We start from the raw sequence: 26,872 nt of genomic DNA, 5'->3' as shown, positions 1-26,872 counted from the left end.
CCGTCACATCCAAGAACTTTATTGGACACAGCTCCGCGCAGGGCCACGGGCCCGGCGGTGAGGGCGGCTCCATCCAGGAAGTCTCAGCAACAGGAACCCACAAGGCGACACTCTAGCTAAGGTTATAGATAGCTGGGAGACAAGGGCCGCTCCGCAGACGCAGGAACAGGCCAGATCTTTATAAATAAACATCCAGTAAAGAGAAATGACAATTCTAAATCATCCGCATACACAGAGCACTCTAGGGGGTGGGGCGCCGGGGGCCTGGAGGGGCGATGAGTGGGCCCAGATGTCCACGGCACGGGGCGGGCGGGGGCAAGGCCGGGGAAACAGACGATGGGCACTAGGACACTGCGCATGTACAAGACCAACTACTGGGGGCGGCGGCCCCGTGCGTATGTGTCAGGCTGTTCGTTCTGGAATGAGGAGGGGTGGTCTTTACATAATATTCTGTGGCTGGTGGGCTCGGAGAGGGTCTACTTTGTGGAGAGGATGAGGGCGACGATGAGACCGTAGAGGCCGAGCACCTCGGCGAAGATGAGAATCAGGATCATGCCCACGAATAGTCGGGGCTGCTGGGCGGTGCCCCGCACGCCAGCGTCCCCCACGATGCCGATGGCAAAGCCGGCTGCCAGGCCGCTCAGGCCCACGCTCAGGCCGGCGCCCAGCTGGAGGAAGCTCCTGGGGGCGAGAAGAGAGGACTGACATCAGCAGCCTGCCAACCAGGGGGAGACAAGGGTCCGGGTCACCACCCACAGGTGAACCGCCCCCCTCCCTGCAGTCCTCCAGCCCTGGGCAGGGGCCTGACCCCAGTGCTCACTTGTAGAGGCTGATGTCGTCATTCAGGGAGTTGGCGATGAGGACTGCCACCACCAGGCCGTAGATGGCGATGATGCCAGCCATGACCACTGGGATGATGGACTTCATGATCTGCTCCGGCCGCATGACAGACATGGCCGCAATGCCGGTACCGCTCTTGGCTGTGCCATAGGCAGCGCCCAGGGCTGTGGGAGGAAGGCGGGGTGAGCCCACAGCAGTACGCAGGCCAGTTGAGACTAGGACCCCGAGGTGTAGCTTTGGCACAGCTCCAAGGGCCACCCCAAGTTATCACATGCAGAGGGGGAGCCGAAGAAGGCATCCAGCCCAGGGCAAGAGGACCCAGGAGGAACAGCCACGGGCAAGCAAAAGGAGGCCAGGACAGCCACTCCTCCTTCCTCTACGTGAGGCCCCCACCCTCAGAGTCCAGCTCTTCCTCCAGCAGCAGCTCTTGGGGCGGCGTGACCCATCTGGGGCTCCTGGCTCTGCAGTGAACCCACCTGTCACCCCAGGGAGCCTCAGTGCAGCCTCAGCAGCCCCCATGTGGGGTCAGGGTCAGTCGACCCTTGGGGCTACTGCCCAGGACAACATGCTGGAAAAGCCACCAAAGGTCTTGGGGATGGCAAAGCCACTGCTACAGGGTGTGACCGGAGGGTCAGAAGCAGCTGACCTGGCCACTCTTGTCACCCAGGCCAGAGCTCCCTTGACTCACTGCCCAGGCCAAGCTCCCCAACGCTCCCAGCCCCAAATATTAACCTAGGAGGGCCAAACATTCTGCCAGAAAGGGCAGCTCTCAGCACCCTCAGCCACACAGCAGGCCTGAACCCTTGACAGATTGGAGAATCTTCTCTACCAGACAGGAGACAGGGTGAGCCAAGAAGAGGATGGGGGCAGAGAAGACGACGGGGATCATCAACAGTCCAACTACGAGGCCTCAGCTGACCTCCCAGAGAGGTCTCCCCTGCACACGGGGTGGCTCCAAGCACACAGGAGCCTGGCCAGAGGGCCCAAGCCTCCCACCGCAACAGTGCTGGTGGGCTGGGCTCCAGGGTGGCCTGTCTCCTCCAGAGCTGTCCCTCCTTCCTCTCCCAAGAGAATGTTGCCTTTCTTTTCAGTTCCCCTCTCCTGGGCCCTATTCTCAAAGTGGAGAATTCTGTGGACACAGCAGTGTCACGGGGGCTCATTTGCCTTTCTGACTTCTGCCAGCTGCCCTCCAGGGCCACCACAGGGGCCTACTGAGCTGCTTGTGGGGACTGCACTGGCAACTCCCTGCCCCCTCTCTGCCCACAGAACTCATGCCATGGTCTTTTAGGGGAGCAGATCAATAACCAGCCTGACTTGGCCAGGCGCAGTGGCTCACGCCTGTAATCCCAGCACTTTAGGAGGCCAAGGCGGGCGGATCACCTGGTGTCAGAAGTTCGAGATTAGCCTGGGTAACATGGTGAAACCTCGTCTCTACTAAAAATACAAAAATTAGCCAGGAGTGGTGGCGCATGCCTGTCATCCCAGTTACTAGGGAGGCTGAGGCAGGAGAATCGCCTGAACCCAGGAGTGGAGGTTGCAGTGAGTCAAGATCACGCCACTGCACTCCAGCCTGGGCGACACAGAGAGACTCCGTCTCAAACAAACAACAAGAGTGAATCTCTGACAGACACACACACACACACACACACACACACACACACACACACAAACAGCCTGACCTGCAGAAGACTACATATGTCAGAGGTGGAAGGGACCAGGACTACCCCTACCATTCCTCTTCATATTTTATTGATATATTTGGGCCACAAAACTTGCCTACCCTGTGTCCCAGCACTCAGCAGGGGTGAGGACACAGGCGCGGTGACCTCCAGGCACAGAGACATGCTCCAGGAGAGCGGAGAAGGGGGTGCTGGGGAAGGGCTTCACAGACAAGTATCCCAAGTTGGCGGGAGAGAGGAGTCACAGAAAAACAAGGCAATAAGACAAGGGCTCTGGATAGCACCTGCAGAGGCACCCAAGACGACGGTGCTGGGTATCCAGGGAGTGACTATAGAGGGAGGAAGGAGGCTGGGACCTGGGCCAGGGAGCCACACGGCCTCCTCCACGCCACCTTGGAGGTGCCCAGACATGCCATGCCAACACCCAGTGCACCTGCAGACTGGGGCCCAGGGCCTGTCCCAGCGCCTGTCCTGAACTCCTGGTTACAGTGCATTTTTTCCCTGGCAAGCATATAGAGCAATTACAGTGCATTTTAGGGGGCTCCCACTGCAGGCCCAGGACCACATCCAACTGCATCATGTATGCACAAGAGACCAGAGCATGGCAGACACGTTGGCAGGAGACTGAATACAGGGAACTCAGCAACCCAAGTAGTGGACCCTGTGAGGCCAGTAGTCCACCAGAGGCAGGAAGTGAGCCAGGCCCTTTTCTACAGAGGGCAGCAGGAAGAATCATGTGGCTGGCAGGGGGAGGAGGCACCAAGAGGAGCACAGGGAAGAAAGGGATGGCCACCAGGAGCGGAATACCATGAGCACCCTGGACTCCAGTCCGGAGGCCAAGCCTGACCAGACTGCAGAAGGCAGACCTGTGAGCGGCACTAGGCTCAGCAGCCACAGAAAGAGTGGGGGGCCAGAAAGCAGTTGCAGAAACACAAGCATAAAATACAAGGCACTCGCCAGCAGGGAGGAAGTCACAGGAAATACAGAAAAGGAGCAAATGACAACTTCTTGAAGGACATGATGAAGAAAGAACAGGACATTTGTCATGAGAAAAAAAAGGGGAAGCTGGGACGGGGGCCTGCAAGAGGTTTGTGGACCTCATTCGGTTTAAGACCAATCCGTCAGTGCCAGGCAGGCCAAGGGCCAGGAGCTGGGGACACAGCTGGAGGTTGGCGTTGTGGCAACAGCAGAGGCCACTGGAGGGCAGGGGGCTTGTTTAGGTCGGCACAGCAGGTGAAGCCAGGTCCTGGAGGAAAGCATGCTGAGAAGGCAGAAATGAAGTCAGAAGTTGAGCCAGTCATGGTGGCTCATGCCTATAATCCCAGCCCTTTACGAGGCAGAAGCAGGTGGATCGTTTGAGGCAACAAGGAGTTTGAGACCAGCCTGAGCCACATGGCGAGACCCTGTCTCTAAAAAAAAAAAATTAGCTGGGCATGGTAGCCTGTGCCTGTAGTCCTAGTTATTCAGGAGGCTGAGGCAGGAGGATTGCTTGAGCCTGGGAGGTTGAGGCTGTAGTGAGCCATGACCACACCACTGCACTCCAGCCTGGGAAACAGAGCAAGACCCTGTCTTGAGGAGGGGAGAAAAAAAAAAAAAAAAAAAAAAGCAGTTGTCTGAATTGGCCAAGTGAAGTCAGAGGTCAGCTCCTGGAGAGCCACAGTAAGCCACGTTTATCCCGAAGAGCCAGGGATAAGCAGGAAAGGCCTAGGCCAGCAATACCGTGTTCTCAATTTCCAGACACCTGCTGGTCAGGCTGCCCAAAGACCTGTGTAGGTCTTGACGGAGAGAGAGGAAAGGAGCTGGGTGCAGAAAAAGGGCTTGGTGGACAAACTCAGGGCTTCAAGGGCAAGCAGCAACAGCTAGAATTTAAGTTCCACATGGGCGGGGATCCCATTTTGTTCACTGCTGTCCTACCAGTACCTGGCACATAGTAAGCGCTCAATCAAGATTGTTTGGATGAATGAGTGACAGCCACAAGCTAATACCCCACAGGTGGCCAGGCAAAATGGAATCTCTGAAGGCATTCTGAGGGCAAAGAACAGAGGAGGCTGGGGGGAAGGGCTCGGCAGCCTGTTGGGAGAAGCCTTGAGTCTGTGGAAAGAGCAGGCGGTGCCTAGGGGGAAGGAGAAGTCTAGACCACTTCTTCCACCACAAATGACCCCTTACTTGCACACGACGGGAAGGCCAGGGCTCACTCACGAATGGCAGACAGGCCCAGGCAGAAGGAGGCCCGCAAGAGAACAGAGAGCTCCAAGCCCCCACCCCACAGGTGTTTACAGTCAGCAGAGACTGTTTGGAGTTCAAACCCTCCACATATCTGCACTAGGAGCCTCCCCAGGCCACCAGGCAGGGTGGGGCAGGGCACGGTCATCAAAGCTAAAACCAGACCTAACCACGGAGGCGGAAATCAGACCAGGCCAGGCCAGTCCACGGAGGCTGAGACTGGGCCAGAACTTAACTCGTCGGACCCACATTCCTGGGCCTAGCCCTAGCCCAAGTGCCATTCTCCCAGGGAGACCAATTGTCACTAAATTGGACGCCCAGGACCTGTCAAGGCCCAATTTCAAAAGCAGGGTGCCACCAAGAACCCTAGAAGGCCCCTTCTCCAAGCCCAGGGAAGCCCCTCCCAACTTCAGGCCTCAGGGAGGGAAAGGAAGGTCATTCATTCACCCCTCCATTCATTAGGACCACAACTGGAAGCCTCAGTCCTGAGGGCAACGACTGGATCCCATAAACTCGGACACCCATGCCACCCTCTCACCCACCTCAGAGCACAGACCCTCTGCAAGCTACACAGCCCCGCCAGCGCCGATGCTGCTGTCTCCCCGCTCCCTCCACTTCCACACACTCCCACCCGGGTCTCCGCGGGCTCTCCGAACCAAGCCCTCAGCCCAGCTTTCCCAAACAGCCCACACAGCGACACGGGTATTGGGCAACTGTAACCAGCTCCAACCGGAAGTACCTGCCTGTGGGTGAGACCCACCTGACCCTCGGGGCCGGCCGCCATAAGGGCGAGGGCTGAGGACCTCCCGTGGGGGACATGGGCTCCCCACCAGCCGGAAAGCTCCAGCGACCGGCTGGGCGTTCCTGGGCCGGACCCGCGCCGCCGCCCGCGCACTGGGGCCTTCGAGGTGTGATGTCACCTGCCCGCAGAATCGGCCCCCCTCGCGCCGCCCCCCTCGCGCCCCCACCCCAGCCTCCCTCTCGCCGCTCCCGGGGCTAATATGGCAGCGGCGCCGCCGCCCCACCCCCGCAACCGCACGACCCGGCTGGCAGGGCCGCCGGCCCGGACCCCCGAGACTCACACCCCGGCCAGGCCCGCACGCCCTGCGCCCCGGACCCCCGGCGGCTCCCCGCAGCCCTCGGGGCGCCGACCCCCGCCCGCTGTCACACGAGGCCCGGGCGCCCCCGACAGCTCGGGATTACGTCAGAGTGACGTCACACACCGGACCCCGGCGAGCTGCGGGCATGAGCAACGCGCGCGCCCCCGCCCCCGAGTCCCTCCCGCCGCCGCGCTCACCGCTGAAGACCATGGCGGCCGAGGCGCCCATGACGGCGAAAAACGAAGCATACTCGGGGCCGCTCTTGGACTCGGACATGTCTGCGGGTGGGGAGGGGGCAAGCTCTGCGGGCCGAGGCGGTGGCGGAGGCGGGGGCGAGGACGGGCCGGGCACGAAGGTTTGCGGGCGGGCGGCGGCGAAGGCGATCCGGCCCGTCAGCCGCTGCGCTCTAAATACCAGCACCGCAGAACAAAATGGCGGCCGCGGCCGCGTCACATGACCTGGGCCCCGCCCCTGCGAGCCGTACCACTTCGCACCGTGGGGGAGACGCGTCCCCGGGACGCCCGGCCGGCCCGTTGACCTCCCCCGGGCTGTGCCGCCCGCCCAGCGACCCGGCCCCGGCGCCCGGCCCCGCCCTGCCTCGGCCTCCGCGGGTGTTTCCGGGCGCCGCCGGCCTCTGGATCTCCGCAGCGTTGGACCGGTCTCGCGCCGGGGCGGGGCGGTGTGGTGTGTGCTTCATTAGCATACGGGGCGGGGCCTCGGACGCCCCGCCTCCTCTGCGGCTGCGCGTCGTCTGCAGGTGTTGGGTTCCCGGCGACGCTTTTCTTTGTACCCCTGGCGTGAAGCTGCAGGCCGTGGTTTCGCGGCCTTGCCCCCAAGACGGGGCCTCACCCCTCCGGGCGCTGGTCTTCCAGGATCTCCCTACCAATCCTGGGCGAGCTAAGGGTCCCAGCAGATGTGCGGCGCGCGGGCCTCCTCTGCCACAGCGTCCGGAAAAGCCCCCAGCCCACACCTGTGAAGTCCCAGCCCGTGGCTGCGGTCACCTCCCTCCACCCTGTCCCCAGTCTCCTCCAGACCCAGACCTACTGCCTCTGACCCAGCAGTTGGTGACTTCACCTCTCGCTTCGGAGAAAAAGGACCCCCTCCCCGCACCTGTCTCTGCCTTTGCATCAGGGACCCAAACATTAGTGGGGTGTGTCTCTGCCCCTCAAGATGTAGGCATGACTGGTGGAAGCCCTGTCGGAACTGCGACCTCTGGAGGCCCCCCGGGCTCTGCACGTTCTGGCGTCCTGGTCCTCCCACCTGTCCTTGCAGCCACCCACTCACGCAAAGCCTGCACCTTCAGGGCCATCTTTCTGTCTTTCTGGAGCAGTTGGAGCGGTTCCCGCAGCCGTGAAAGCAGCCCAGCCAGGGCTGGCGCTGCCCTACTGATCCTGTGTGGCAGTCCCTGGCACCCCCTCTGCCTGATCTCCATTCCCCCTTTCAGGGGCCCTGGGCAGCTGCCACCAGGCCTGAGTGTCCTTTGAGCTCTAAGGCCTCATCCTGGGTTAGAGCTCTCCCTGAGTAGCCTGGATGCTGGCTCATCACCTTCTCTATGTAGGCAATGGGGTCATGGCCCCTGGTCTGGCCCTCCTGCTGGACTCAGCCCCACCTTCCCCAGCAGGAGCCTCCCTCAAGCCCCTTCCCCAGGCTAGCCTGGGTCTGCCACTCTTGGAACTTGCAGCCCGTGAAAGTCCCTAAGTCTGTCCTGGTTCAAAGGAGAGGAGGCAACAGATACGGCCAGAGGCCCTTTCTGCTCCTCCCTCTTTCTTGCCCGGCCCTTGTTTCTGAGAAGACGAATCTTCACTCTGTCTCCACCTCCTCACCTGCCCTTCCCTCTCCAGCTCCTTGCCCTTGCCAAGGTCACTGGTGACCGCCATTTCTCTAAGCAGAAGGACATCTGTCAGGCTGTCCAAGTGGACCTCTGTGCTGCGTGGCCTGCCACCCTCTCCACACACTCTCCTCTCTCCTGCGGACTTCCTAAATCTCAGACGCCCTCATTCTTCCTGGAGTCACAAGGCCCTGTAGCCCCAATTTTGCTGCAGGTCCTGGCATACCCAGGGCTACCCCTAGCTCTGCCCTTCCCCTGCTTGATCCCATCCTTTCCCTGGCTTTGTCCCCCATCTTACGCCGTCTTGTCCCTCACCTGCACCATTCCAGCCCCGACCGCCCTCTGAGTGAGAGCAACACCAGTGCCTGCCCCCATAACTCCAAGCCCTCCAGGAAAGCCTAGGCCAGGAAGGCTGTGCCTGGGGCCGAATTCAGACCAAGGAAAGGTGGCGCAGAGCAGCCCACCATGGAGAAACAGCACAGTCCAAGCTCAGGGGTGGGCTGGGCACGGTGGCTCCCGCCTGTAATCCCAGCACTGTGGGAGGCCGAGGCAGGAGGATTGCTTGATCCCAGGAGTTTAAGACCAGCCTGGGCAACAAAGTGAGACCTCGTCTCAAACAAAACATTGTAGGGTGGGCAAAGAGCACCTAACTCCATTGTGGCTGAAACACCAGGACTGGGGACATGGGGACGTGGAGAGACTTCCCTCTTGCAGGAGCAGGGAGTGGGTCAGCTGTGCTCACTGGCCTCTTACCCATTCATTTTCTGCCTAAGTTCTAGTGTGAGAGGTCACACCGGGTCTCCAGTGTGGCTCCTGACACTTCAAGCTGGCGTGTCTGAAGCTGAGCTCGCCCCCACCCCTTCACCACCACCTTCCACTGGGCTATTTCCATTCCCGCAGAAGGCACGCCCATCCCCCCGCAGCCTGACGTCACGCCACTGCTCCCTCCCCACTCTGTATTACTCAGGATCCCGAGATCCTGCCTCCCCAGCTTGTGTCCGCGCCCGCGCCCCTGCCCCTGCCGCTGCCTGGCCTAGGTCTTCTCATCGCCTACCCCCAATCAACCGAGTCTTCACCTTAAAGCCACAGGTTCTTTCCAAAGGGCACTTTCCATCCTGGAATCCTTCGGCCCCTCAAGAGCCCTCCCTGGTCCCCTCCCGCTTCTCATCACCAGCCCCCCAACGTGTCTGCATCACCTGTGTCTGCACCAACTCTCTTCCTCACTCCCTACTTAAGAAATGCACCTCAGTTGGCGGGGTGCCTATAATCCCAACATTTTGGGAGGCCGAGGCGGGTGGATCACGAGTCAGGAGATGGAGACCTCCTGGCTAACACAGTTAAACCCTGTCTCTACTAAAAATACAAAAAATTAGCTGGGCGTGGTGGCACACACCTGTAATCCCAGCTACTGCAGAGGCTGAGGCAGGAGAATCGCTTGAACCCGGGAGGCGGAGGTTGCAGTGAGCTGAGACAGCCTCACTGCATTCCAGCCTGGGCGACAGAGTGAGACTCTGTCTCAAAAAAAAAAAAAAAGAAATGGGTCTCAGTATTTAGAACACCACCTCCTCCAGGAAGCCCCCACTTTCCTTCCCCTCCTTCTTCCTCCTCAGACACCCCCTTCAGGCCTCTCTGGATGCTCCCCTCACACTCTGTGATTTTTTTTTTTTTTTTTTTGAGATGGCGTCTCACTCTGTCACCCAGGCTGGAGTGCAGTGGCGCGATCTTGGCTCACTGCAACCTCCACCTCCCGGGTTCAAGCGATTCTCCTGCCTCAGCCTCTGGAGTAGCTGGGACTACAGGCGCCGGCCACCACGCCCGGCTAATTTTTTGTATTTTTAGTAGAGATGGGGTTTCACCGTGTTAGCCGGGATGGTCTCGATCTTCTGACCTCGTGATCCACCTGCCTCGGCCTCCCAAAGTGCTGGGATTACAGGCGTGAGCCCACGCCCAACCTCTGTGATTTTTTTTTTCCGCTCACTGCCTCCCCCACTGAGGGTCGCTGTGACTCTTTTTCTGTGTCCTTGACCTGGTAGGGTGCCAGACACACACAGGAGAGATTTCCTGAGCACCAGGGTGGGCCAGGCCCTGTCTGGGCACCGTCACCCCTCACTCTCACCGTGACCCTCATTTTCTGGTCAGCGAAACAGGCCTCAGAAGGTTAAGAGCCTTGCCAGGCATCCAGCTAGCAGCTGCCAAGGGAACCTGAAACTGGAGCTCCAGGGCCTGCCTCTGTGGTGGGCTCCACAGATGACTGATGACCAGTGACAGGTCTAGGAAGGACCCAGATCTCCTTCTCCTTGGTCTCCCAGCACCGGGCAGGACCCCAGGGTGGAGTGGACTCTGGGGTGGGGATGGCCAGGGACACACATCTCTCTCCTCCCTCACAGCTACGTCCCCCCTGGCGTGAAACCACAAGTCACGAGCCCCTGGCCTGTCACTGCTACAGCAGCGGGGATTTCCAGGAACTGGGGGAGGGGCTTTGAGAAACTCAGGTCAGAGACCCCAACAGAAGCCGTAGAGAAATGTAGGGTGGGCTTCTGCAGGAGGGACCAGCAGCATTTTGCAGAGACCCCGGCAAGGGTAGGGGAGGATGGGGATAAAGAGACAAGGAATAAAGTCCCAAGAGTGACTGGGGAGATCAACTTCTCCGGAAGAAGCCATCACAAAGGGCTGGGGGGCAGCCTCATCTGCAGATGACAGTGTCCCTGCAGGCACCTGCTCCTGGAGACAGCTATCCTTCTGAGTTGCCCTGAGGACACACCCAGAGGGGCACAATGCTGGGAGATGGCACTGGGCACTCTTGACCTGCTTCCAGGAGAGCCATGTGTGGCCCCAGCAGGGCCGGAGGAAATGGGCCAAGAACACAGGTGTACCATCAGGGGTATGACCAAAGGTGCTTTATTTTCTTATCATTAAAAGTTAAGGCTTAAACAATGATACAGTGAAGTTTTTTGTTTTTTGTTTTTTGTTTTTGAGATGGAGTCTCACTCTGTCACCCAGGCTGGATTGCAGTGGCGCAATCTCAGCTCACCGCAAGCTCTGCCTCCCATGTTTAAATAAAATAAAATGCCAGAGGTAAAGACAACGTGGTGCAAGTAGGACTCGGCACCGTACAAGCTGCTTGGTGCAAGGAGGCTCCCCAAAGTCGAGGGCGGCAGGGGAGGTGGAGCCCTGAGCTGCTCCCGCTGGACAGCAGGCACTGAGGGGGCAAGAGGTTGGAGGCAGACGACTGCAATGACCCCAAGGACAGGGCAGCTCCCCCTTCTCGCTCACCCCAAGCTTTCAGGGTTGATGGAAAAGGGCCTGAGTGGGCCCTCCTCTTTGAGGACCCAGTGGGGTGGGCAGGGAGTCCAGCCGGCCCTGACCACTAGGCAGCAGTGTTCGGCGTTTCTTCTGCAGGCAGGTGGGCAGGTGGAGGACCCCATTGGCTCACAGGTGCTATAGTAGCCATTGGGTTTTTTTGGACACAAACTTCCAAATGACCAGGGCCGGGGGCTGCACCTGCACCACGACCAGGTTTTTCAGAACGGGTGTCAGATAAACGCTCAGCCCTAGGCAGCCTGGACCCCATGTCTGGTTTCAGGGTGCACCCTGAAGGCCAACACGGCCTCCTCACACTCCACCCAGGGGGTCAGGGCTCACCGCCGCAGCCCTTGCCCGCCTCAGACCCTGATCCATTCATTCAGTTCCCTGAGCACCTACTATTGTGCCAGGTGCTGAGTGAGGCCCCTGCCAGACAAAGACAAGTTAGAGTCCCTACCCTCAAGACCTGGCAGCCTACCAGGGAGCAGTAGCGTCCCCAACGGTACAGCCAATGCCGCACCAGAAGTGTGGTTCCTAGAAGCAGGGGGGACAAGGGAAGGAGGTGCTGGGACTAGCTCGGTGGGTCGCAGAAGAGGTGATCTCTGAATTAGGACTTGAAAGATGAAGAGAGGGCATAGAGCAGGGGAGAAACATGATCCAGTCTGTATTTAAGTAAGTCACAGACTGGTCGGGCACATGGCTCACACCTGTAATCCCAGCACTTTGTGAGGCCAAAGTGGGCGGATCACCTATGGTCAGGAGTTGGAGACCAGCCTGGCCGACATGGTGAAATCCCGTCTGTACTAAAAATGCAAAAATTAGCCGGGTGTGGTGGCGGGTGCCTGTAATCCCAGCTACTAGGGAGGCTGAGGCAGGATAATCGCTTGAACCCGGGACGGGGAGGTTGCAGTGAGCAGAGATCATGCCACTGCACTCCAGCCTGGGTGACAGAGCAAGACTCCATCTCAAAAAAACAAAAACATGAAAATGAAACCCAAAGTCATAAGATAGAGAGGCATGGGGAGCAGCTGCTTGCTGGGGCCAGGTTTTCCTTTAGGAGTGGGGAAATGCCATGGAACTGGAGGTGGTGGTTCCACAACATGCTCATTCATGCAACCACCACCTCTGTCTGGGGTCGTTCAAATGGTTGGATAGTATGTCAATTTCACTTCAATTTTTTTAAAAGAAAAATGAAACAGTTTCATGGCAGGCTAGAGGGAAGACTGTGCCCTGGACACCTGCCACAGACTAGGCCCGGAAAGCAGCCTGAGGGAAGGCTGCTGGTAGAGGCGGCAGGAAGGGAGGGGGCGGCACTGCCTGGCCAAGCTCTGGGCAGACACCAGCCCCACAGTGAGCTGGCCTGCAGGAGGAAGCAGCCCTGCGCCCCACCTCCCAGGCCAGAGCGCTCTGCACGCCCCGCTCAGGGACAATCTTGCCCAATTCTGGCCTGAGTGTGTGTCCTAATGTCAAGCACAAGACAGTCCGAGCACTTACAGTAAGTGCAAGAGTTACTGCAGGGAGCGTGGCGGGTGTGGGAAGGGGGTGTCCCGCCACCACAGGCCCCAGGAGCACACCTGGAGAATCTCTGATCACCCTGGACGCACAGCAGCAGCGCACACCAACCCACAGGGGCTTCAGTTCATTCTGCAGTGCTAGGCACTCCTGCCCCTTGAGACTGACAGTCTTTAGGACAGGGGGTGGGGAGACCAGCCAACACCTGTCTCAGGTGCTGTGAAGCTAGAACGCGGACCCGGCCTCAGCGGGGAGCTCAGGGAAATCCTGGGAGGGACACTAGGGCCCAGGCATGAGGAGTGGCAAATAGCACGCGCAAAGGCCGGGAAACAGAGGCTTTCAGTTCAGAGGAACTGAAAGAAACCTGGTGCCAGAGAGCCTGTGGCTGTGTTGGGGGCCAAGCTTCCTGCCAGGCTAGCAGACCAGGAGGCCTCTCAGACCCGGGACAGGTGCTGCCCCAACAGTCCCCTGAAGGTACTGAAGGAAGGTGTTCAGAGGAGCAAAGAAAGAGGGCTTGGCAGGAAGGGGCCACCCCCGTGGCCAGTCTGGGGAAGAGGAACCCAGGAGCATAGAGTGGGCAGAGGCAGCTCACGTGACGGCAGGCAGAGGCTCCACAGCAGCTGCAGGGAGGGCCCCCAGCAGCCTCGGTCTCACTGGAGGAACTGGACAGGGAGGGGGCATCTGTGCAGGGCTCAAAAGAAAAAAGGCATTCTATTTTTCTTTGTATTATACCGATCCACAATTAAACACAAGGTACTAAAAAGACGTGGCCGGGCACGGTGGCTCACCCCTATAATCCCAGCACTTTGGGAGGCCGAGGCAGGCGGATAACTTGAGGCCAGGAGTTAGGGACCAGCCCGGCCAACATGGTGAAATCCGGTCTCTACTGAAAATACAAAAATTAGCCGGACATGGTGGCAGGTGCCTGTAATCCCAGCTACTCAGGAGGCTGAGGCAGGAGGATACCTCAAACCTGGAAGTTGGAAGTTGCAGTGAGCCAAGATCGCACCACCACATTCCAGGCTGGGCGATACAGCAAGACTCCGTCTCAAACAAAAAAAAAGACATTCATTAATATTGACGTGGCCAGGCGCGGTGGCTCACGCCTGTAATCCCAGCACTTTGCGAGGCCGAGGCGGGTGGATCACGAGGTCAGGAGATAATTCCATCCTAGCTAACAGGGTGAAACCCCGTCTCTACTAAAAATACAAAAAAATTAGCCGGGCGTGGTGGCAGGTGCCTGTAGTCCCAGCTACTCGGGAGGCTGAGGCAGGAGAATGGTGTGAACCCAGGAGGTGGGGCTTGCAGTGAGCCGAGATTGAACCACTGCAGTCCAGCCTAGGTGGCAGAGTGAGAGTCCATCTCAAAAAAAAAAAAATTATATATATATATATATATATATAGAGAGAGAGAGAGAGAGAGAGAGAGAGAGAGACGCAAACTTTCAAAGGAAATACTCATTTTGAAATTTTGAATGAGAAAGGTTGAGTTTGTTTTTTGATACTCGTGTTTTACACACGACAGGGGTTCTTCACTATTTTTTTGTGGAGATGGAGTCTCCCTGTGCTGCCCAGGCTGCTCTCAAACTCCTGGCCTCAAACAATCCACCCACCTCAGCCTCCTAAAGTCTTGGGATTACGGGTGTGAGCCACCACACCCGGCCTTGACAGGGATTCCTGATGAAACGTCTGACACTGATTCTTCATGGTGACTCCTCTAAGTCTCCCTAAGACTTTGCTGAGTGTAGCTGTCCACACAGCAGGCACTAGGAACAAAAGAAAACAAGACGGATCAGGGAATGCTGCCGTTCTCACCGGCCACGGCTGCAAATGCGACAGACATGTACCTGTCGCCTCAGTGGAGAGACTCGCTGGTGACCACAATGCGCAGATGCGGTCTTGTCAACCTAGCGCCTCCCTCTCTCCTCCAACACCCTGGAGAAGAGGCGTCCAGGACTTCCCATCCCTCTAAGCCTTCTCATAGCAAGTTATTTCACAGTGACCTTCTTTTACCAGTTCTCGATTTTATTTAGGACTCAAATTAACACCAACCAAACATATCACTAACTCACTTATTTTCACATTTTCAAAGTTGGATTGTGCTGCAAATCCATACATTTGTGCTCACTACACATTTTTTTTATTACATTCATTGAGAGGCTCCAAAGCATCAGTCCAATAAACATTTTTCCAGCCCGATAACCATCCTTCGTAAGAACTAAGAGGTAAAATCATTCACACAACTATTTTTTCCCTTCTATCCTTAGCTCATAAGCATTTGACCAAATGCCAATGTTTTTGCCAGTTCATGTTGTCCGTGCCTTATCACAAGTGACATGTCTACAGGACACGGTATCCACTGACTTTGCTTCCTTGGTCCCAAGAAAAGGTGTTGACAAATTCCATAGTTTGGTAAAATGAGTGAGTCTGCAATTGTGGGAGGCATTTTGTTTTTAGCAATGAATCACATTACATTGTACCTAACTTCTCAAGCACAATCTGATACTAAGATGATGAAGATAGTTCTTAAAAACTCTTTATACCAGATGATTTTTAAAAATCCACATACTTTTCTACCTAACATAGATGTTGTAGGGTGAAGAGCCTATGAGGCTTGTTTGGCACTCCTGCTTCATTTGATAATTTCTCCACGCAAACAAGACATTTAGGCTGAGAAAGAGAACCAGCAAGAATCTGGATGAGCTGGGCACAGCAGCTCACGCCTGTAATCCCAGAATTTAGGGAGGCAGAGGCGGGAGGATTGCTTGAGTCCAGGAGTTCAAGACTAGCCTGGGCAACACAGCAAGACTATGTTCTCCACAAAAAGGGAGGAAAAAAATCTATATGAACCCAAATTTGAGGCAGGTGCTGTATTGCCTAATTAGTGGCCATTTGGGTTTTTTTGACCAGTGGTTTTGTGAGTTTGATGATATTCTGGACTTAGTAAAAATGTGAGAAAGTAAACAACTGTAAAAATTAAATCGATTCCTGGACAGTGGGAAAAAAACGGGGCAATCTCGGCTGGGCGCGGTTGCTCACGCCTGTAATCCCAGCACTTTGGGAGGCCGAGGAGGGCAGATCACGAGGTCAGGAGATCAAGACCATCCTGGCTAACACGGTGAAACCCCATCTCTACTAAAAATATAAAAAAATTAGCCGGGTGTGGTAGCAGGTGCCTGTAGTCCCAGCTACTCAGGAGGCTGAGGCAGGAGAATGGCGTGAATCCGGGAGGCGGGGCTTGCGGTGAGCCGAGATCGCGCCACTGCACTCCAGCCTGGGCGACAGAGCGAGACTCTGTCTCAAAAAAAAAAAAAAAAAAAAAAGGGACAATCTCAATAGGCCTGTGGTTTAGTTAACAGCAATGCAACAATGCTTATTTCTTTGTTTTGATATTGACTTGGGGGAAGGTGAGGGTACATGGAAACCCTGTACCGTCTCTGCAACTCTTCTGCAAATCAAAAATTACTTCAAAATAAAAAGGTACACAACTAAATTACTAAATATAAACTACTCAAGGAGACTGCAAAGGCTTTATGGGTTCAGAAAGTGGATAAGAGAAATATGAAGGCCTCTGAAATCTTCAAAACGTTTTAAAACAAATTCCACTGAAAAACTCAAAAAATGAAGTATGCGGCTTACAAAAATAGAAAAATTAAAATACTTTAGTTCATTAAAACTCTGAAAAAATTCAAGTACAAATGACTTACTCTCATAAGTTCTTTTGCTTAAACTGATTTTCTGAAGCCCCAAAGGCATATAATCTGCTTTAATGAATTCATTTAATAAACTATTTTAAATTAGGTGCAATTGTTGTTTTAAAAATAAATGTTAAACATTTATTCAGCACAAAGTGGTCTATTCAAAAAAATTAAAAAATAGGCTAGGCGCGGTGGCTCACGCCTGTAATCCCAGCACTTTGGGAGGCTGAGGGGGGGGTGGATCACGAGGTCAGGAGTTCAAGACCAGCCTGACCAACACAGTGAAACCCTGCCTCTACTAAAAATACAAAAAAAATTTAGCTGGGCGTGGTGGCGTATGCCTGTAATCCCAGCTACTCAGGAGGCTGAGGCAGGAGAATCGCTTGAACCCAGGAGGCGGAGGTTGCAGTGAGCCAAGATCATGCCACTGCACTCCAGCCTGGGTGACTCTGTCCCAAAAAAAAAAAAAATCAAAAAATAATTCTTTGAATGTTTCTAAAAACAAATGATAATTTATTATGCAGTTTCAACAAATGTTGGCTTTTTTTTTTTTTAAACAAAGAATGGCTACTTCATAGGCAGAGCAGCCACTTTTGGCTAATTTTTAACATCCAAAGCTAATAAATAATCAAGAAGAAATAGAGAACATTAACAAAATAAATTATGTTCTATTTGGGAATACCTAATATCAGATACTAACAAGTACAGTGATAAGAATAAAAAAGATAATAATCACACATACCTTCTAGGTTAGTAGAAAAGTTAGGAAAAGATATTAAATTTAAAGAAACAATATTTTGCATGCACACAAAAAACAAAGAACTTCGCTCATGATGTGGAAATCATGACCCAGCAGCAATCCGTCTTCCTGGTCCAGATCACTGGAAGGCCCGGGTGGGGCCCCCTGGGGGCAGCCACGCAGAACCTGCTGGACTTAACTCGCCAGAAAAATCACCACCCAGTTCAGGAAGTTTGCAGAGGGAAACCTACAAATGGTCCACGGATATGACTTCCCTGCTCCTGGAGGGCTCCCTCTGGAAGAGGCTTGCAGCATTCCAGTCATAGAATGTGGGTGAGCACTACAGCGGGCAGCCTCCCACACCTGCTTGGCTGTAGGCCCAGGAAGCCCCCGGAGGCCCCTCTGGCTGAAGAGATCAGACTCAGCTTGGAGCCCTGGAGTTGATGCAGCAAGACCATGTTTAATGAACACCAAAGCTGGCGGTACAGATGAGGGCCTCAGGGGCTCAGGCGGGGGCCTGGAGGGCTGCGGTGGGCTGAGATGAGTGGCGACTTCCCTCCCATACCTCTCCCCGTGAGAGGGATTCACCCCATCCCCCTGCGAGCCTCTCAACAGTCCTGTGAGGAGGACAGCAGGGCATGGGGACTGGCCCCATTTCACAGCTGGGGAAACTGAGTTCCAGACGGGTTTGTCAGCTTGCCCAAAGCCACACAGGGTTCCCGGTCCTTCCTCCTGCACCACTGTGCGCCCAGTCAGAGGCTACATGAGCAGATGGTCAGGGGAGGCTAAAGCCCCATGGGAGGAGCAGGCAATGGTGTGGGGATGGAAAGTGGCACGGTGCAGGGGACTCCAAGTGGCACTGGCTGGAGGCCAGCAGGGACGGGGGTGGGGGCAGGACTGCTGGTACCTGCCTCTGTGACCCAGGCTTCCATGGTCCCAGAACAGCCACTTGGGCCTCTGTGTCTCCCTTCTCCCCTCCGTGGTGACCAGACCCTCAAGACGAGTTGAAGGAGGTCATGGGGCATGGAGGGAGGTCACAAGGCAGGGGGCTGCCCCCTATAGTGCCCAGAGGCAAGGCCTCCCCTGGCACCTACCTGCGTCTGGCCAGCGCAGGGCTCAGGCAGGGCAGGGGCCCAGGGGCCCAAAGGCTGTAAGGTGAGAGGCTCACAGAAAACCCTGACACGTGGCCAGCCACAGCACCACAAGAGGGACAGAGGGAGGACATGCATCCATGCAAGGTGGCCAAGGAGGTGCTGTGTGGCCAGGGCCAGGGGAGGGCACGGGGCCTGGTGCAGAGAAGCAGTTGGGGCTGCACTGAGATGAGCATGCCACAAAGAGGGGCTTGGGCGTGACCCTGGGCCCCAGGTCATTGCAATGACAAAGAGGTGAAATGGGCAGCTGCAGAGGCTACAGGAGCTCAAGGAGGCCTGGGCTGGAAGGGAGGGGAGCTGAGAAGCCCCCTGGGTCCAGGCTTCTCTGGGCAGACCCCTGGAAATGGAGCTTGCTGGTCTGGGTCGGTCCCTGAGGGCCTCTCCCGGGGCTACCTCTTCAGATGGGAACACGCAGGGAGGCCCAGCAAAAGCTTCAGGCTCTGCAGAAACACAAGGACATGTGACATCCCCCTCCAGCTCCCACCCTCCCTGGGGGTGGAGCCCAGCACAAATCCCACCCTCCTCCTCCCACCCAGCAGCTCCCAAACGCAGCCCAGGGGAGCCTCAGAGGCAGCCAAGAAGGGTTAATGTGAGAGGTGGCCCAGGAGGCCTGGGGAGGGAACTGGGGCAAACGCCCAGGACAGGGGGTGGGGTCCGCCAGGGGGCAGGCCCAAGGGTGCCAGTCTGTTCTCGGGATCTACGCTGGGATTCAGTCGCCAGCCAGCCAGGCTGCAGGGCCCTGCTCAGGAGGGCGCGATGCTATGCGGCACCAGCAGGGGGCACCACAGGCCCACCCTTAGCTGCACGTTCCCACTGCCGTTGTACTCCCACCCCAGGGGCTCAGGCTGCCTAGAGAGGCTCAGGGGCAGCAAGACCCAGACACTCCCAAGGCCTTGGGCTATGGAAGCCTCCACGGAGGAGGAAGGTACTTCCTATGCCAGCTCTGGGTGGGGCTGGGGGCACAGCAGGCCCTCCAGCTCTGACCCAGATGCAGGTGGACTGGGGAAGCCCAGCCCAAACCCCAGGTAGAGGCAGCAGCAGGTCCAGGCAACGCCAGGCTTGGCCATGGGGTCCTGCCGTCCCCCAACCCTGCCTACCACATGGGGGTTTCATCTGCTCTCTGCTGCCCGAGGCGGCAGCCCAGCCTCGGCCCACCGCCCCACCACGGCTCAGTCACCGTGGCACAGGCCGTCACTGGGTGTCAGGGTCCTGGAAGCCCCAGGCCTCCACGGCAGCAATGAGGAAGTTCTCGGAGCAGAGGGGCTGGTTGTTGAAGGTGTCGCAGTGGCTTGTGCGGCCCCGGTTCAGGTCCCCATCGATGTAGAGCGCCTGGCCGCCTCCTCCCCCTGCAGGATGCTCAGGTCAGTGGCGGCCTGACTGCCCTATCAGCACTGACCCAGGCACCTCACCTGCTGTCCCAGCTGTCCTGCCCTGCACGGGCCTCTCTGAAACCGCACAGACCGTTGACCCTCCATAGCCCCCAGGACCAGCTGTCCAGGCTGGTCTCTCCCTTCCAGCCCCCTCCCACCCATCATGCCTGGTCCACCCTGACACCCAGGGCCTCTTCTCTGCCACCCCGGTCAGGGAGGGCTGGGTGCAGCAGCTTCAGCTGCCCGGACCCCACACCCTCATCCCAGAGCCCCGTCTGCTGGCGCTCACCGACGATGAGGCAGTCGCTGCCCCCCGCCATGAACATGGACTCGGTCTTGGAGGGCAGGTTGAAGTGGCGAGCGGCCAGGAAGGGCGAGAGGCGGTCAGCGGGGTCTGAGGAGGCGGAGTGGCTGAGTGGGGCGGTGGGCTCGGCAGCCATCAAGGGTGGGGGCTTGGTCAGCTCGGGGTGCTTGATCACCACCCACTCGTAGCGCTGCACCTCAGGCTGCAGCTGGGGTGGAAGGGGAGTGTGAGGAGCTGGCGCGGGCGTTCGCAGGCCCCTCTGCCCCAGAGCCACAACCCGTTTCATCCCGTGAATCTGCACCCAGAGCCCAAGGTGGGTGCAGCCCGAGCCAGGGGCTGGGGAGCTGGTGGCTCGAGCAGATGAAGCCCCCTGCCCCGGAGCAGCGCACGGCTGAATGATCAAACCCGGAAGCACACAGGGCGATGACGCTGCTGGGTGACTGCCATGGCGACACCCAACAGTGTCCCCAGGGCAGGCGGGTGCTCCTGGAGGGATGCAGCTACAGGGTCTGCGTGGGGGTTTGGGGACACTTGGCCCCACTCACCCTAAACACAAAGCATTCTCCGGTCCCAAAGAAGCCCAGTTTGCCTCCAAACTTATTTCTCTCACTCCAGTCTGTGGACAGGTAAGCACCACACACCTGGGGGAAAGGTCTGGGTGAGGCTGTGCCCGCAGGCCCCCAGGAGCGTCCCTGTGCTCCAGACTACTGACGGGCCTGTCCCAGGTCACAGGTGGGGGTGCAGGCATTGCCGTCTCCCACCCCCACCCCAGGGCAGGAGTGGTGTGGGAAAGGCAGTGTTGCAGGTGTGTGCACCCTGCCCCTGGCTTGGGGCTGGCAATGAGGGTGGGCGGGGGCTGTGTTGGGGATAGTCTCATTTCCCCTTGTGGCCCTGAGTGTGGGATGAGCCCCATGTGCTGGCCATACCCACGCTCTGACTCTGGATCTGGCCCAGGAGGCCTAGGCCCTGAAGCCCATCAGAGCCAGCCCTGGAGCCCATCAGAGCCAGCCCTGGAGCCCATCAGAGCCAGCCCTGGCTCCAGGGCCCCTGCTCACCTCCTTCTGCGTGGTCTTGATGAGCAAGAGGGTAGGCTCATGTCCTTCACACTGGAAGTAGAACCTGGCGTAGAGACACGCATGCCAGCTGTCACCCTGCACACCCTCCCAGCCGCCTCCTGCAGCCTCCGCTGGCCCCAGCTGTCTTGGGGCGAAGACCTGGGAACTGTGCTTCCTTCTCTCTGGGTCCCGACAACACCCTCACCCAGGTGTTCTTCTCACCTGGCCCTTCTCTGCCATCCCCAGGACAGCCTGCCCTGGTGTGACTCAGGGGAGAGGCCTTGCAGTGGAAGGCCCCAGTGCAGAGCCAAGCGCCAGGGGCTGGGGAAGCAGGAACCAGAGGAACAGGTCCCTGCGGTGGGGAGGTTTGGGCCATCCTCGCAGCCCAGGCATGTGGGAGCCAAAGAGGCCCTGGTCTGCCAACGTGGCGCCTGGAGCTTGGCTGGTGTCCTTGGCAGGGCCAGGAGAAGTGGCTCCAGCTGTGCCAAAATGCTTGAGTTGTTATGAACCTGTGAACGGTGCTGGGTGGGGGCTGGACCAGCTCTGCCTGCCTCACCCCCAGGTCACCCCAGGCCCAACCCAGAGCTCCCACGGCCACATGCTGTCCAAGGCTGGAGGGAGGCTCCCTGGCTGCACCTGGCAGCACCACCCTGGAGGGCAGCATGCCCCAGGCCCCCGACAGAGCACCATGTGGATGACAGGGTGGGGAGCGAGCACAGCCAGGACCTGCCGCCCACATGGTCCCCCAACCAAGACAATGCTGTGAGCTCCAAGGTGGGGATCCTGCCTCCCAGGCGTCTTCACGACGCCTGCATGGCCCCAAGCTGTGGCACGCCTGCCATGACCCCCAAAGTCTGGGTGGTGTGGGGAGGACAGAGCCCAGAAAGGGACCCTGATTCTTAGGCCCCACAGGAAGAAGCAGGGCCTCACCAGGTGCCGAGGTTTGAGGCCCATTTCCAGCCTCTGTGGGCAGGACACGTGGCTGGGCGGCTCTGCCGCCCGCTCTGGCCCCTTGGGGTGTTACCTGGCCAGGCTGTACCCGTGCTGCAGGGAGGAGAACAGCAGAAGGGGCTGGCACAGGGCAAAGCGCTCGGGGACCCAGGACCAGATGTCTCTCATCTCCCTCACGCTGACGATCTCCGAGCGGAAGTTCTCTGCATGGACGGCCAAGTGTACAAACTGCCTGAGGGGAGCGAGCAGGGGTCAGAGCCCGAAGGCACGTCTGGGGCCAGGCCATGCCCCCCGAGGTATGCCCCAGAGCCTCTTTGGAAGTAAACCCAGAGGGAACTTCTCGCCTGCTTGCCCCGGCCCCGGTTTAGGGCCGGGTTCTAGGTGCCCAACGGGGAGAAAGTTCCCAGGAGCCCCACCTCCCACCCATTACAGAAGGGAAAGTGCCCAGCTTGGATGGGGACAATGCAACTTTTCTCTAAGAAATCAGGACAGAGAGCAACTGCTCTGGCAAGACAAGGCTTCAGGGTGAGCCAAACACCAGCAGATAGCATGACAGAGGCAGACAGGCAGGGAGGCAGGCAGACAGACAGACAGAAGGCGCCTGAGCATCAGTCCGGCTCAGAGGCAGCGCTGCTGAAGCTGGCCCACGAGAGCAGCCCTGAGACCCAGAGCAAGCAGCTGGCCTAGAGTCAGCCTGGTGGAAAGACAGAGGCCAGGTGTGCAGATACAGTTTCAGACCTACCTTTTAGAAAGTGACACACTGAAAAACAGGAGAAAGCAACGGACATGGAGAAGAAAAATAAAACAGACAAAGAGAGGTTAGTGTGAGTACCGATCCCCCGACAGGCCTTTGCTGGCCCAGAAGAAAGAGGGCTGCACGCCAACAGGCCGCAGCGTGGCACCATCACAGCGCTGGCTGCCAAATCCACATAGGACAGACACCATGAACTCCTGACCCTGCTCCCCTGGGGCTGTGCTCCAGGCGGGGAGGCCACGCCCAGCAGCCACAGCAGAGACCAGCCACGGAGCCCAGAGCCGGAGGGGTGGAGCAGAGGCTGCCCTGAAATGACCCTGGGAGTGGGCCTGGCCTCCCACGATGCCTTGCGACCCCATGGCCAGCATCAGCTTTCATCTCAGCCGTGGGCCTGGCCCCAGAGGATAGGACCCGATGTCCCTCGTCTGTGGCTGTAACTGGGAAGGCCCTTCCTGTTTCAGTGTCTTTTCAGCCATGCACAGATGGCTGGGTGGACCATGGGCAGAGGCCGCCTGGAGGCCGGCAGGATGAGCTCACGCCAGACACGTCCTGCCCCAGCCCCCGACCCTGGGTGTACCCCTCACAGGCTGCCGGCGACCTACCTCTTCTGCTTCACGGTGATGCCCTTCTGCTTCAGGGCTTTCTCATTGGCCATCTGCAGGAGCTGGATCTCCTTGCGGGAGAAGAGGCGGATGGCGAACGCTTTCTCCAGCAGCTTCTCAGGGGACACCGTCTTCGCGATGTCTCTGACGAACGTGCGGATGTCCTGCTTCACGCTGTCCGACTCCAGCGGCTGCCCGGCCCTCACCTTGTGGAAGAACTTGAGGATGGCCAGCGCCACGCGGTACAGCACCTTGTAGCCCTCCACCAGGAAGACGTCAAAGACCCGGGCGAAGTAGCAGAGGGGCAGCTCCCCAAACAGCCAGCGCTGCCAGTCCGCATAGACCTGCAGGACATCCTCCGACACGGCCACCATCAGCTTGTGGGCCGCCTGGCAGTACTTGTTCACCAGGTCCCCAAACGTCATGCAGGACGACTCAAAGGCCAGGAAGCTCTGGTCGATCAGCCTCCTGCCGGGGTCATTGCAGGCCAGGATGCGGCAGGCCTTCTCGAAGCACTCGGCCTCGTCGATGCTGTAGTGCAGCAGCAGGGCCACCACGGCCGGCAGGGCGGGGCAGAAGGAGATGTCGGGGAACTGGTTGGCCAGGCACAGGAGGATCTTGCGCACGGCCCCCTCGCCGCGTGCATTCAGGCAGTAGCTGGGCACCTGCGTGTTGTCCACGAACTCGGGCAGCGGCAGGCAGCTGCTGCTGTGCTTGCCCACGATCTTGCCCACGATGTCGCTGTACACGCTGGCGTCAGGCGTGACCGTGCGGCAGGGAATGTCCCGGATCAGGCGCTGGTACACCTTTCCCCGCAGGGCGTGGCTTTGGGCCCAGTAGCCCTGGCGCGCCAGCTGCTTCAGTTCCTGCAGTTCAGTGCAGCTCAGCTCCTTGGGCCCCAGGTCCTGGATGGCAGCGTCCATCTTGTCTTTGTCCACGAAGCAGTTGTATCCTGGAGAGTCCATAGCGCCGCTGTGCTCGGGAGGAGGCCCTGGACTGCCGGAAGGGGAGGACAGAGTGGCTAAATCCTCCAGCCCCCTTTCTGAGGGTTTCCTGCAAACCTGTCTGCCATCTCACACCCTGCAGGATTAAAAAAACACTTTTAGCATCTGTGTTTCAAGGTTCACATTTTAAAGAACGTATTTTTTCAAATGTGGTGTAGTTTTCTTTTCTTTTGAGACAGGGTCTCGCTCTGTTGCCCAGGTTGGAGTGCGGTGCAGTGGCGTGACCCTGCTCTCTGCAGCCTTGAATGGCTTGAACCATCTTCCTGCCTCAGCCTCCTGAGTAGCTGGGACGACAGGTGTCCACCACCATGCCCAGTTAATTTTTTTTTTTGAGATGGAGTCTCACCCTGTCGCCCAGGCTGGAGTACAGTGTCACGATCTCCACTCACGGCAACCTCCTCGCCCCTGGTTCAAGCGATTCTCCAGACTCAGCCTTCTGAGTAGCTGGGACTAAAGGCATGCACCACCATGCCTGGCTAATTTTTTGTATTTTTACTAGAGACAGGGTTTCACCATGTTGGTCAGGCTGGTCTCAAACTCCTGACCTTGTGATGTGCCTGCCTTGGCCTCCCAAAGTGTGGGATTACAGACGAGAGCCACCGCCCTGGCCTAATTTTTTATTTTTTTGTAGAGACAGGGTCTCGCTATGCTCTCCAGGCTGGTCTTGAACTCCTGGGCTCAAGCAATCCTCCTGTCTTGGCCTCCCAAAATGTTGGGATTACAGGCATGAGCCACTGTGCCCGGCCTTGTTTTGTTTTGTTTGAGACAAGGTCTTGTGCTGACATCCAGGCTAGAGTGCAATGGCACCATCTCGGCACACTGCAACTTCTGCCTCCTGGGCTCAGGTGATCCTCCCACCTCAGCTATAGCTGAGACTACAGTTAGGCGCCACCACGCCCAGCTAATTTTTTCTCTTTTTAGTAGAGACGAGATTTTGCCATGTTACCCAGACTGGTCTTAAACTCCTGATCTCAAGCAATCCACCCACCACAGCCTCCCAAAGTGCTGGGATTACAAGTGTGAGCCAGTGCTCCTGGCCTGTTTTTTTGTTTATTATTATTATTATTATTTATTTTGTGTGTGTGTGTGTGTGTGTGTGTGTGTGTGATGGGGTCTTGTTCTGTCACCCAGGTTGGCCTTGAACCGCAGGCCTCAAGTGATCTTCCCACCATGCTGGAATTACGAGTGAGAGTCACGTTGCGCAGCCACATTATTTGCCTTAATCTTTGTGTAAGTATTAGAAGGGCTTCCACTTAAGATAAGTGACTTTTGAGAAGCCGTTACAAACTTTGGAGTATACCTTCTTTTCACAGAACTTATGAAGTTACTGGAATACATCACACAGATTCTGAGTAATGAGAGGCTAGAGATAGAGTTCCCAGAAGGGCTTCAAGAGCTTGGCCCTTGGCTGGGCACAGTGGCTCATATCTATAATCTCAGCTACTCAGGAGGCCAAGGTGGGAGGACTAGTTGAGGCCAGGAGTTCAAGACCAGCCTGGGCAACATGGTGAGACCCCATCTCTACCAAAAAAAGAGGCTGACCCTGCTGAAAACACCTTTCCACTCGAGCATGGTCCACTCCAGGCTCCTAAACACCACCCTGCACCCTGGGGGCCTTCTGAAAAGGAACCCCCAGTTGAGAAGATCACTTTGAGCAAAGAGATGCTTCGTTCTAGTTCTCCCTTTTTTTTTTTTTTTGAGACAGAGTCTTGCACTGTCGCACGGGCTGGAGTGCAGTGGCGTAATCTCGGCTCACTGCAACTTCCGCCTCCCGGGCTCAAGTGATTCTCCTGCCTCAGCCTCCTGAGTAGCTGGGACTACAGGCACCCGCCACCACACCCAGCCAGTTTTTGTATTTTTAGTAGAGATGGGGTTTCACCATGTTGGCCAGGCTGGTCTCGAACTCCTGATCTCGTGATCCACCCACCTCGGCCTCCCAAAGTGTTGGGATTACAGGCGTGAGCCACCACGCCCAGCCCGTTCCCAGTTCTCTTTAACCAGCTGTGTGTGCTAAGAAAGTCACAGCCTATGCTATCCCACCCTGTCGGAATTCTGAAGCCGGCTCTTAACTTTCTAAAACCACCAGCTTGAAAGCTATGCTTCAGGCAGGTGCTCCAGGGAGGAATCTCTGGTGAGGAGCAGGCATTTTCCAGAGGGAGAGCTGGGACCTAAATGGAAGGTGCTGCAGCTTTAAAACTGCACATTTCTGGATCCGAATGGGCCAGAAGTCAAGTGGGGGTGGTTGGTGTTTCTCCAAGAACAGCAACCCCTGGGCTCAGGCAAACATAAAAGGAGTGGGTAAGACGTGCCCTGTGGGATTCTGGACAACAGGTGGCTGCCCTGGCCCAAGGATACCGTCCTGCGCACAGAAGTGCAAGGTTTGCTTACGCACATCAGACTAACCTTTCCACCTGGGATGGTAGAAGTTCCCAGTGTGCCCCAGGGGTCTGCTTCAGCAGGTTTTGGTTGAGTGACCAGACCACTCCGGTTTCTCTTGCAGCTAGAACATTCACCTACCTATTATAAGGCAAATACTGCTTTAAAACAGTTCTTGAAAAGTAAAAATCATAGTGTAAAACGTACGTCTGCGAGACACTGTCTTGGGAAAACACCTCGACACGTGTTTTTGTGTGTGTGGTAAAATACACATAGCATAAAATTTACCATGTTAGGCCGGACGCGGTGGCTCACGCCTGTAATCCCAGCACTTTGGGAGGCCGAGGCGGGTGGATCACGAGGTCAGGAGATCGAGACCATCCT

The 26,872-nt window shown here is 57.3% G+C and overlaps 2 protein-coding genes across 8 annotated transcripts in view, besides 10 other annotated features; both read right to left on the bottom strand.

The window, feature by feature from the left end:
* On the bottom strand, positions 4–6,496 carry ATP6V0C (ATPase H+ transporting V0 subunit c). Of its 2 annotated transcripts, NM_001198569.2 has the most exons (4): positions 6,446–6,496; positions 6,040–6,142; positions 821–1,004; positions 4–681 (listed from the first exon to the last, which is right to left on the bottom strand). In NM_001198569.2, the coding sequence occupies exons 2-4, from the start codon at positions 6,116–6,118 to the stop codon at positions 477–479; spliced, it is 468 nt and encodes a 155-aa protein (NP_001185498.1). In that variant the 5' UTR covers positions 6,119–6,142; positions 6,446–6,496; the 3' UTR covers positions 4–476. The 2 variants fall into 2 exon arrangements, with proteins under 2 accessions (NP_001185498.1, NP_001685.1); NM_001694.4 differs by lacking the exon at positions 6,446–6,496 and having other exon boundaries at positions 6,040–6,270.
* Positions 5,515–5,654: a silencer, noted in NCBI's record as "silent region_7057". NCBI's record gives its function as "represses an Ori minimal core promoter by ATAC-STARR-seq in GM12878 lymphoblastoid cells {active_cell/tissue: GM12878}" and the evidence as "EXISTENCE:reporter gene assay evidence [ECO:0000049][PMID:35858748]".
* Positions 6,075–6,554: a silencer, noted in NCBI's record as "silent region_7056". NCBI's record gives its function as "represses an Ori minimal core promoter by ATAC-STARR-seq in GM12878 lymphoblastoid cells {active_cell/tissue: GM12878}" and the evidence as "EXISTENCE:reporter gene assay evidence [ECO:0000049][PMID:35858748]".
* Positions 7,460–7,754: an enhancer, noted in NCBI's record as "tiled region #4251; K562 Activating DNase matched - State 5:Enh". NCBI's record gives its function as "activates a minimal TATA promoter and a strong SV40 promoter by Sharpr-MPRA in K562 cells {active_cell/tissue: K562}" and the evidence as "EXISTENCE:reporter gene assay evidence [ECO:0000049][PMID:27701403]".
* Positions 8,545–9,148: an enhancer, noted in NCBI's record as "H3K4me1 hESC enhancer chr16:2561075-2561678 (GRCh37/hg19 assembly coordinates)". NCBI's record gives its function as "activates a minimal SCP1, AML or CMV promoter by ChIP-STARR-seq in primed H9 embryonic stem cells {active_cell/tissue: H9 hESC(primed)}" and the evidence as "EXISTENCE:reporter gene assay evidence [ECO:0000049][PMID:30033119]".
* Positions 10,146–10,215: an enhancer, noted in NCBI's record as "active region_10271". NCBI's record gives its function as "activates an Ori minimal core promoter by ATAC-STARR-seq in GM12878 lymphoblastoid cells {active_cell/tissue: GM12878}" and the evidence as "EXISTENCE:reporter gene assay evidence [ECO:0000049][PMID:35858748]".
* Positions 10,276–10,385: an enhancer, noted in NCBI's record as "active region_10270". NCBI's record gives its function as "activates an Ori minimal core promoter by ATAC-STARR-seq in GM12878 lymphoblastoid cells {active_cell/tissue: GM12878}" and the evidence as "EXISTENCE:reporter gene assay evidence [ECO:0000049][PMID:35858748]".
* Positions 12,032–12,532: an enhancer, noted in NCBI's record as "H3K4me1 hESC enhancer chr16:2557691-2558191 (GRCh37/hg19 assembly coordinates)". NCBI's record gives its function as "activates a minimal SCP1, AML or CMV promoter by ChIP-STARR-seq in naive and primed H9 embryonic stem cells {active_cell/tissue: H9 hESC(naive and primed)}" and the evidence as "EXISTENCE:reporter gene assay evidence [ECO:0000049][PMID:30033119]".
* Positions 12,533–13,033: an enhancer, noted in NCBI's record as "H3K4me1 hESC enhancer chr16:2557190-2557690 (GRCh37/hg19 assembly coordinates)". NCBI's record gives its function as "activates a minimal SCP1, AML or CMV promoter by ChIP-STARR-seq in naive and primed H9 embryonic stem cells {active_cell/tissue: H9 hESC(naive and primed)}" and the evidence as "EXISTENCE:reporter gene assay evidence [ECO:0000049][PMID:30033119]".
* The window catches only part of TBC1D24 (TBC1 domain family member 24), a 30,604-nt gene continuing 18,223 nt past the window's right edge, over positions 14,492–26,872 (bottom strand). For 2 of the 6 annotated variants that reach the window (NM_001199107.2, XM_047434388.1), the window contains exons 2-8: positions 23,109–24,188; positions 22,495–22,512; positions 21,826–21,984; positions 20,802–20,865; positions 20,292–20,387; positions 19,732–19,954; positions 14,492–19,418 (exon numbers count right to left, since the gene is read on the bottom strand). In NM_001199107.2, the coding sequence (NP_001186036.1) occupies positions 19,264–19,418; positions 19,732–19,954; positions 20,292–20,387; positions 20,802–20,865; positions 21,826–21,984; positions 22,495–22,512; positions 23,109–24,073 (1,680 nt within the window). In that variant the 5' untranslated portion in view covers positions 24,074–24,188 and the 3' untranslated portion in view covers positions 14,492–19,263. The remainder of the gene's footprint in view (positions 19,419–19,731; positions 19,955–20,291; positions 20,388–20,801; positions 20,866–21,825; positions 21,985–22,494; positions 22,513–23,108; positions 24,189–26,872) is intronic. The other 4 variants (NM_020705.3, XM_017023494.2, XM_017023493.2 and 1 more) reach the window with 3 other exon arrangements.
* Positions 19,311–20,128: an enhancer, noted in NCBI's record as "H3K4me1 hESC enhancer chr16:2550095-2550912 (GRCh37/hg19 assembly coordinates)". NCBI's record gives its function as "activates a minimal SCP1, AML or CMV promoter by ChIP-STARR-seq in primed H9 embryonic stem cells {active_cell/tissue: H9 hESC(primed)}" and the evidence as "EXISTENCE:reporter gene assay evidence [ECO:0000049][PMID:30033119]".
* Positions 22,801–23,406: an enhancer, noted in NCBI's record as "H3K4me1 hESC enhancer chr16:2546817-2547422 (GRCh37/hg19 assembly coordinates)". NCBI's record gives its function as "activates a minimal SCP1, AML or CMV promoter by ChIP-STARR-seq in primed H9 embryonic stem cells {active_cell/tissue: H9 hESC(primed)}" and the evidence as "EXISTENCE:reporter gene assay evidence [ECO:0000049][PMID:30033119]".

The sequence above is a fragment of the Homo sapiens genome, chromosome 16 (assembly GCF_000001405.40).
Source record: "Homo sapiens chromosome 16, GRCh38.p14 Primary Assembly".
NCBI classification, from domain to species: Eukaryota; Metazoa; Chordata; class Mammalia; order Primates; family Hominidae; genus Homo; species Homo sapiens.
The sequence above is the reverse complement of the archived record's forward strand: the minus strand, read 5'-3'. Positions and strand labels throughout refer to the sequence as shown.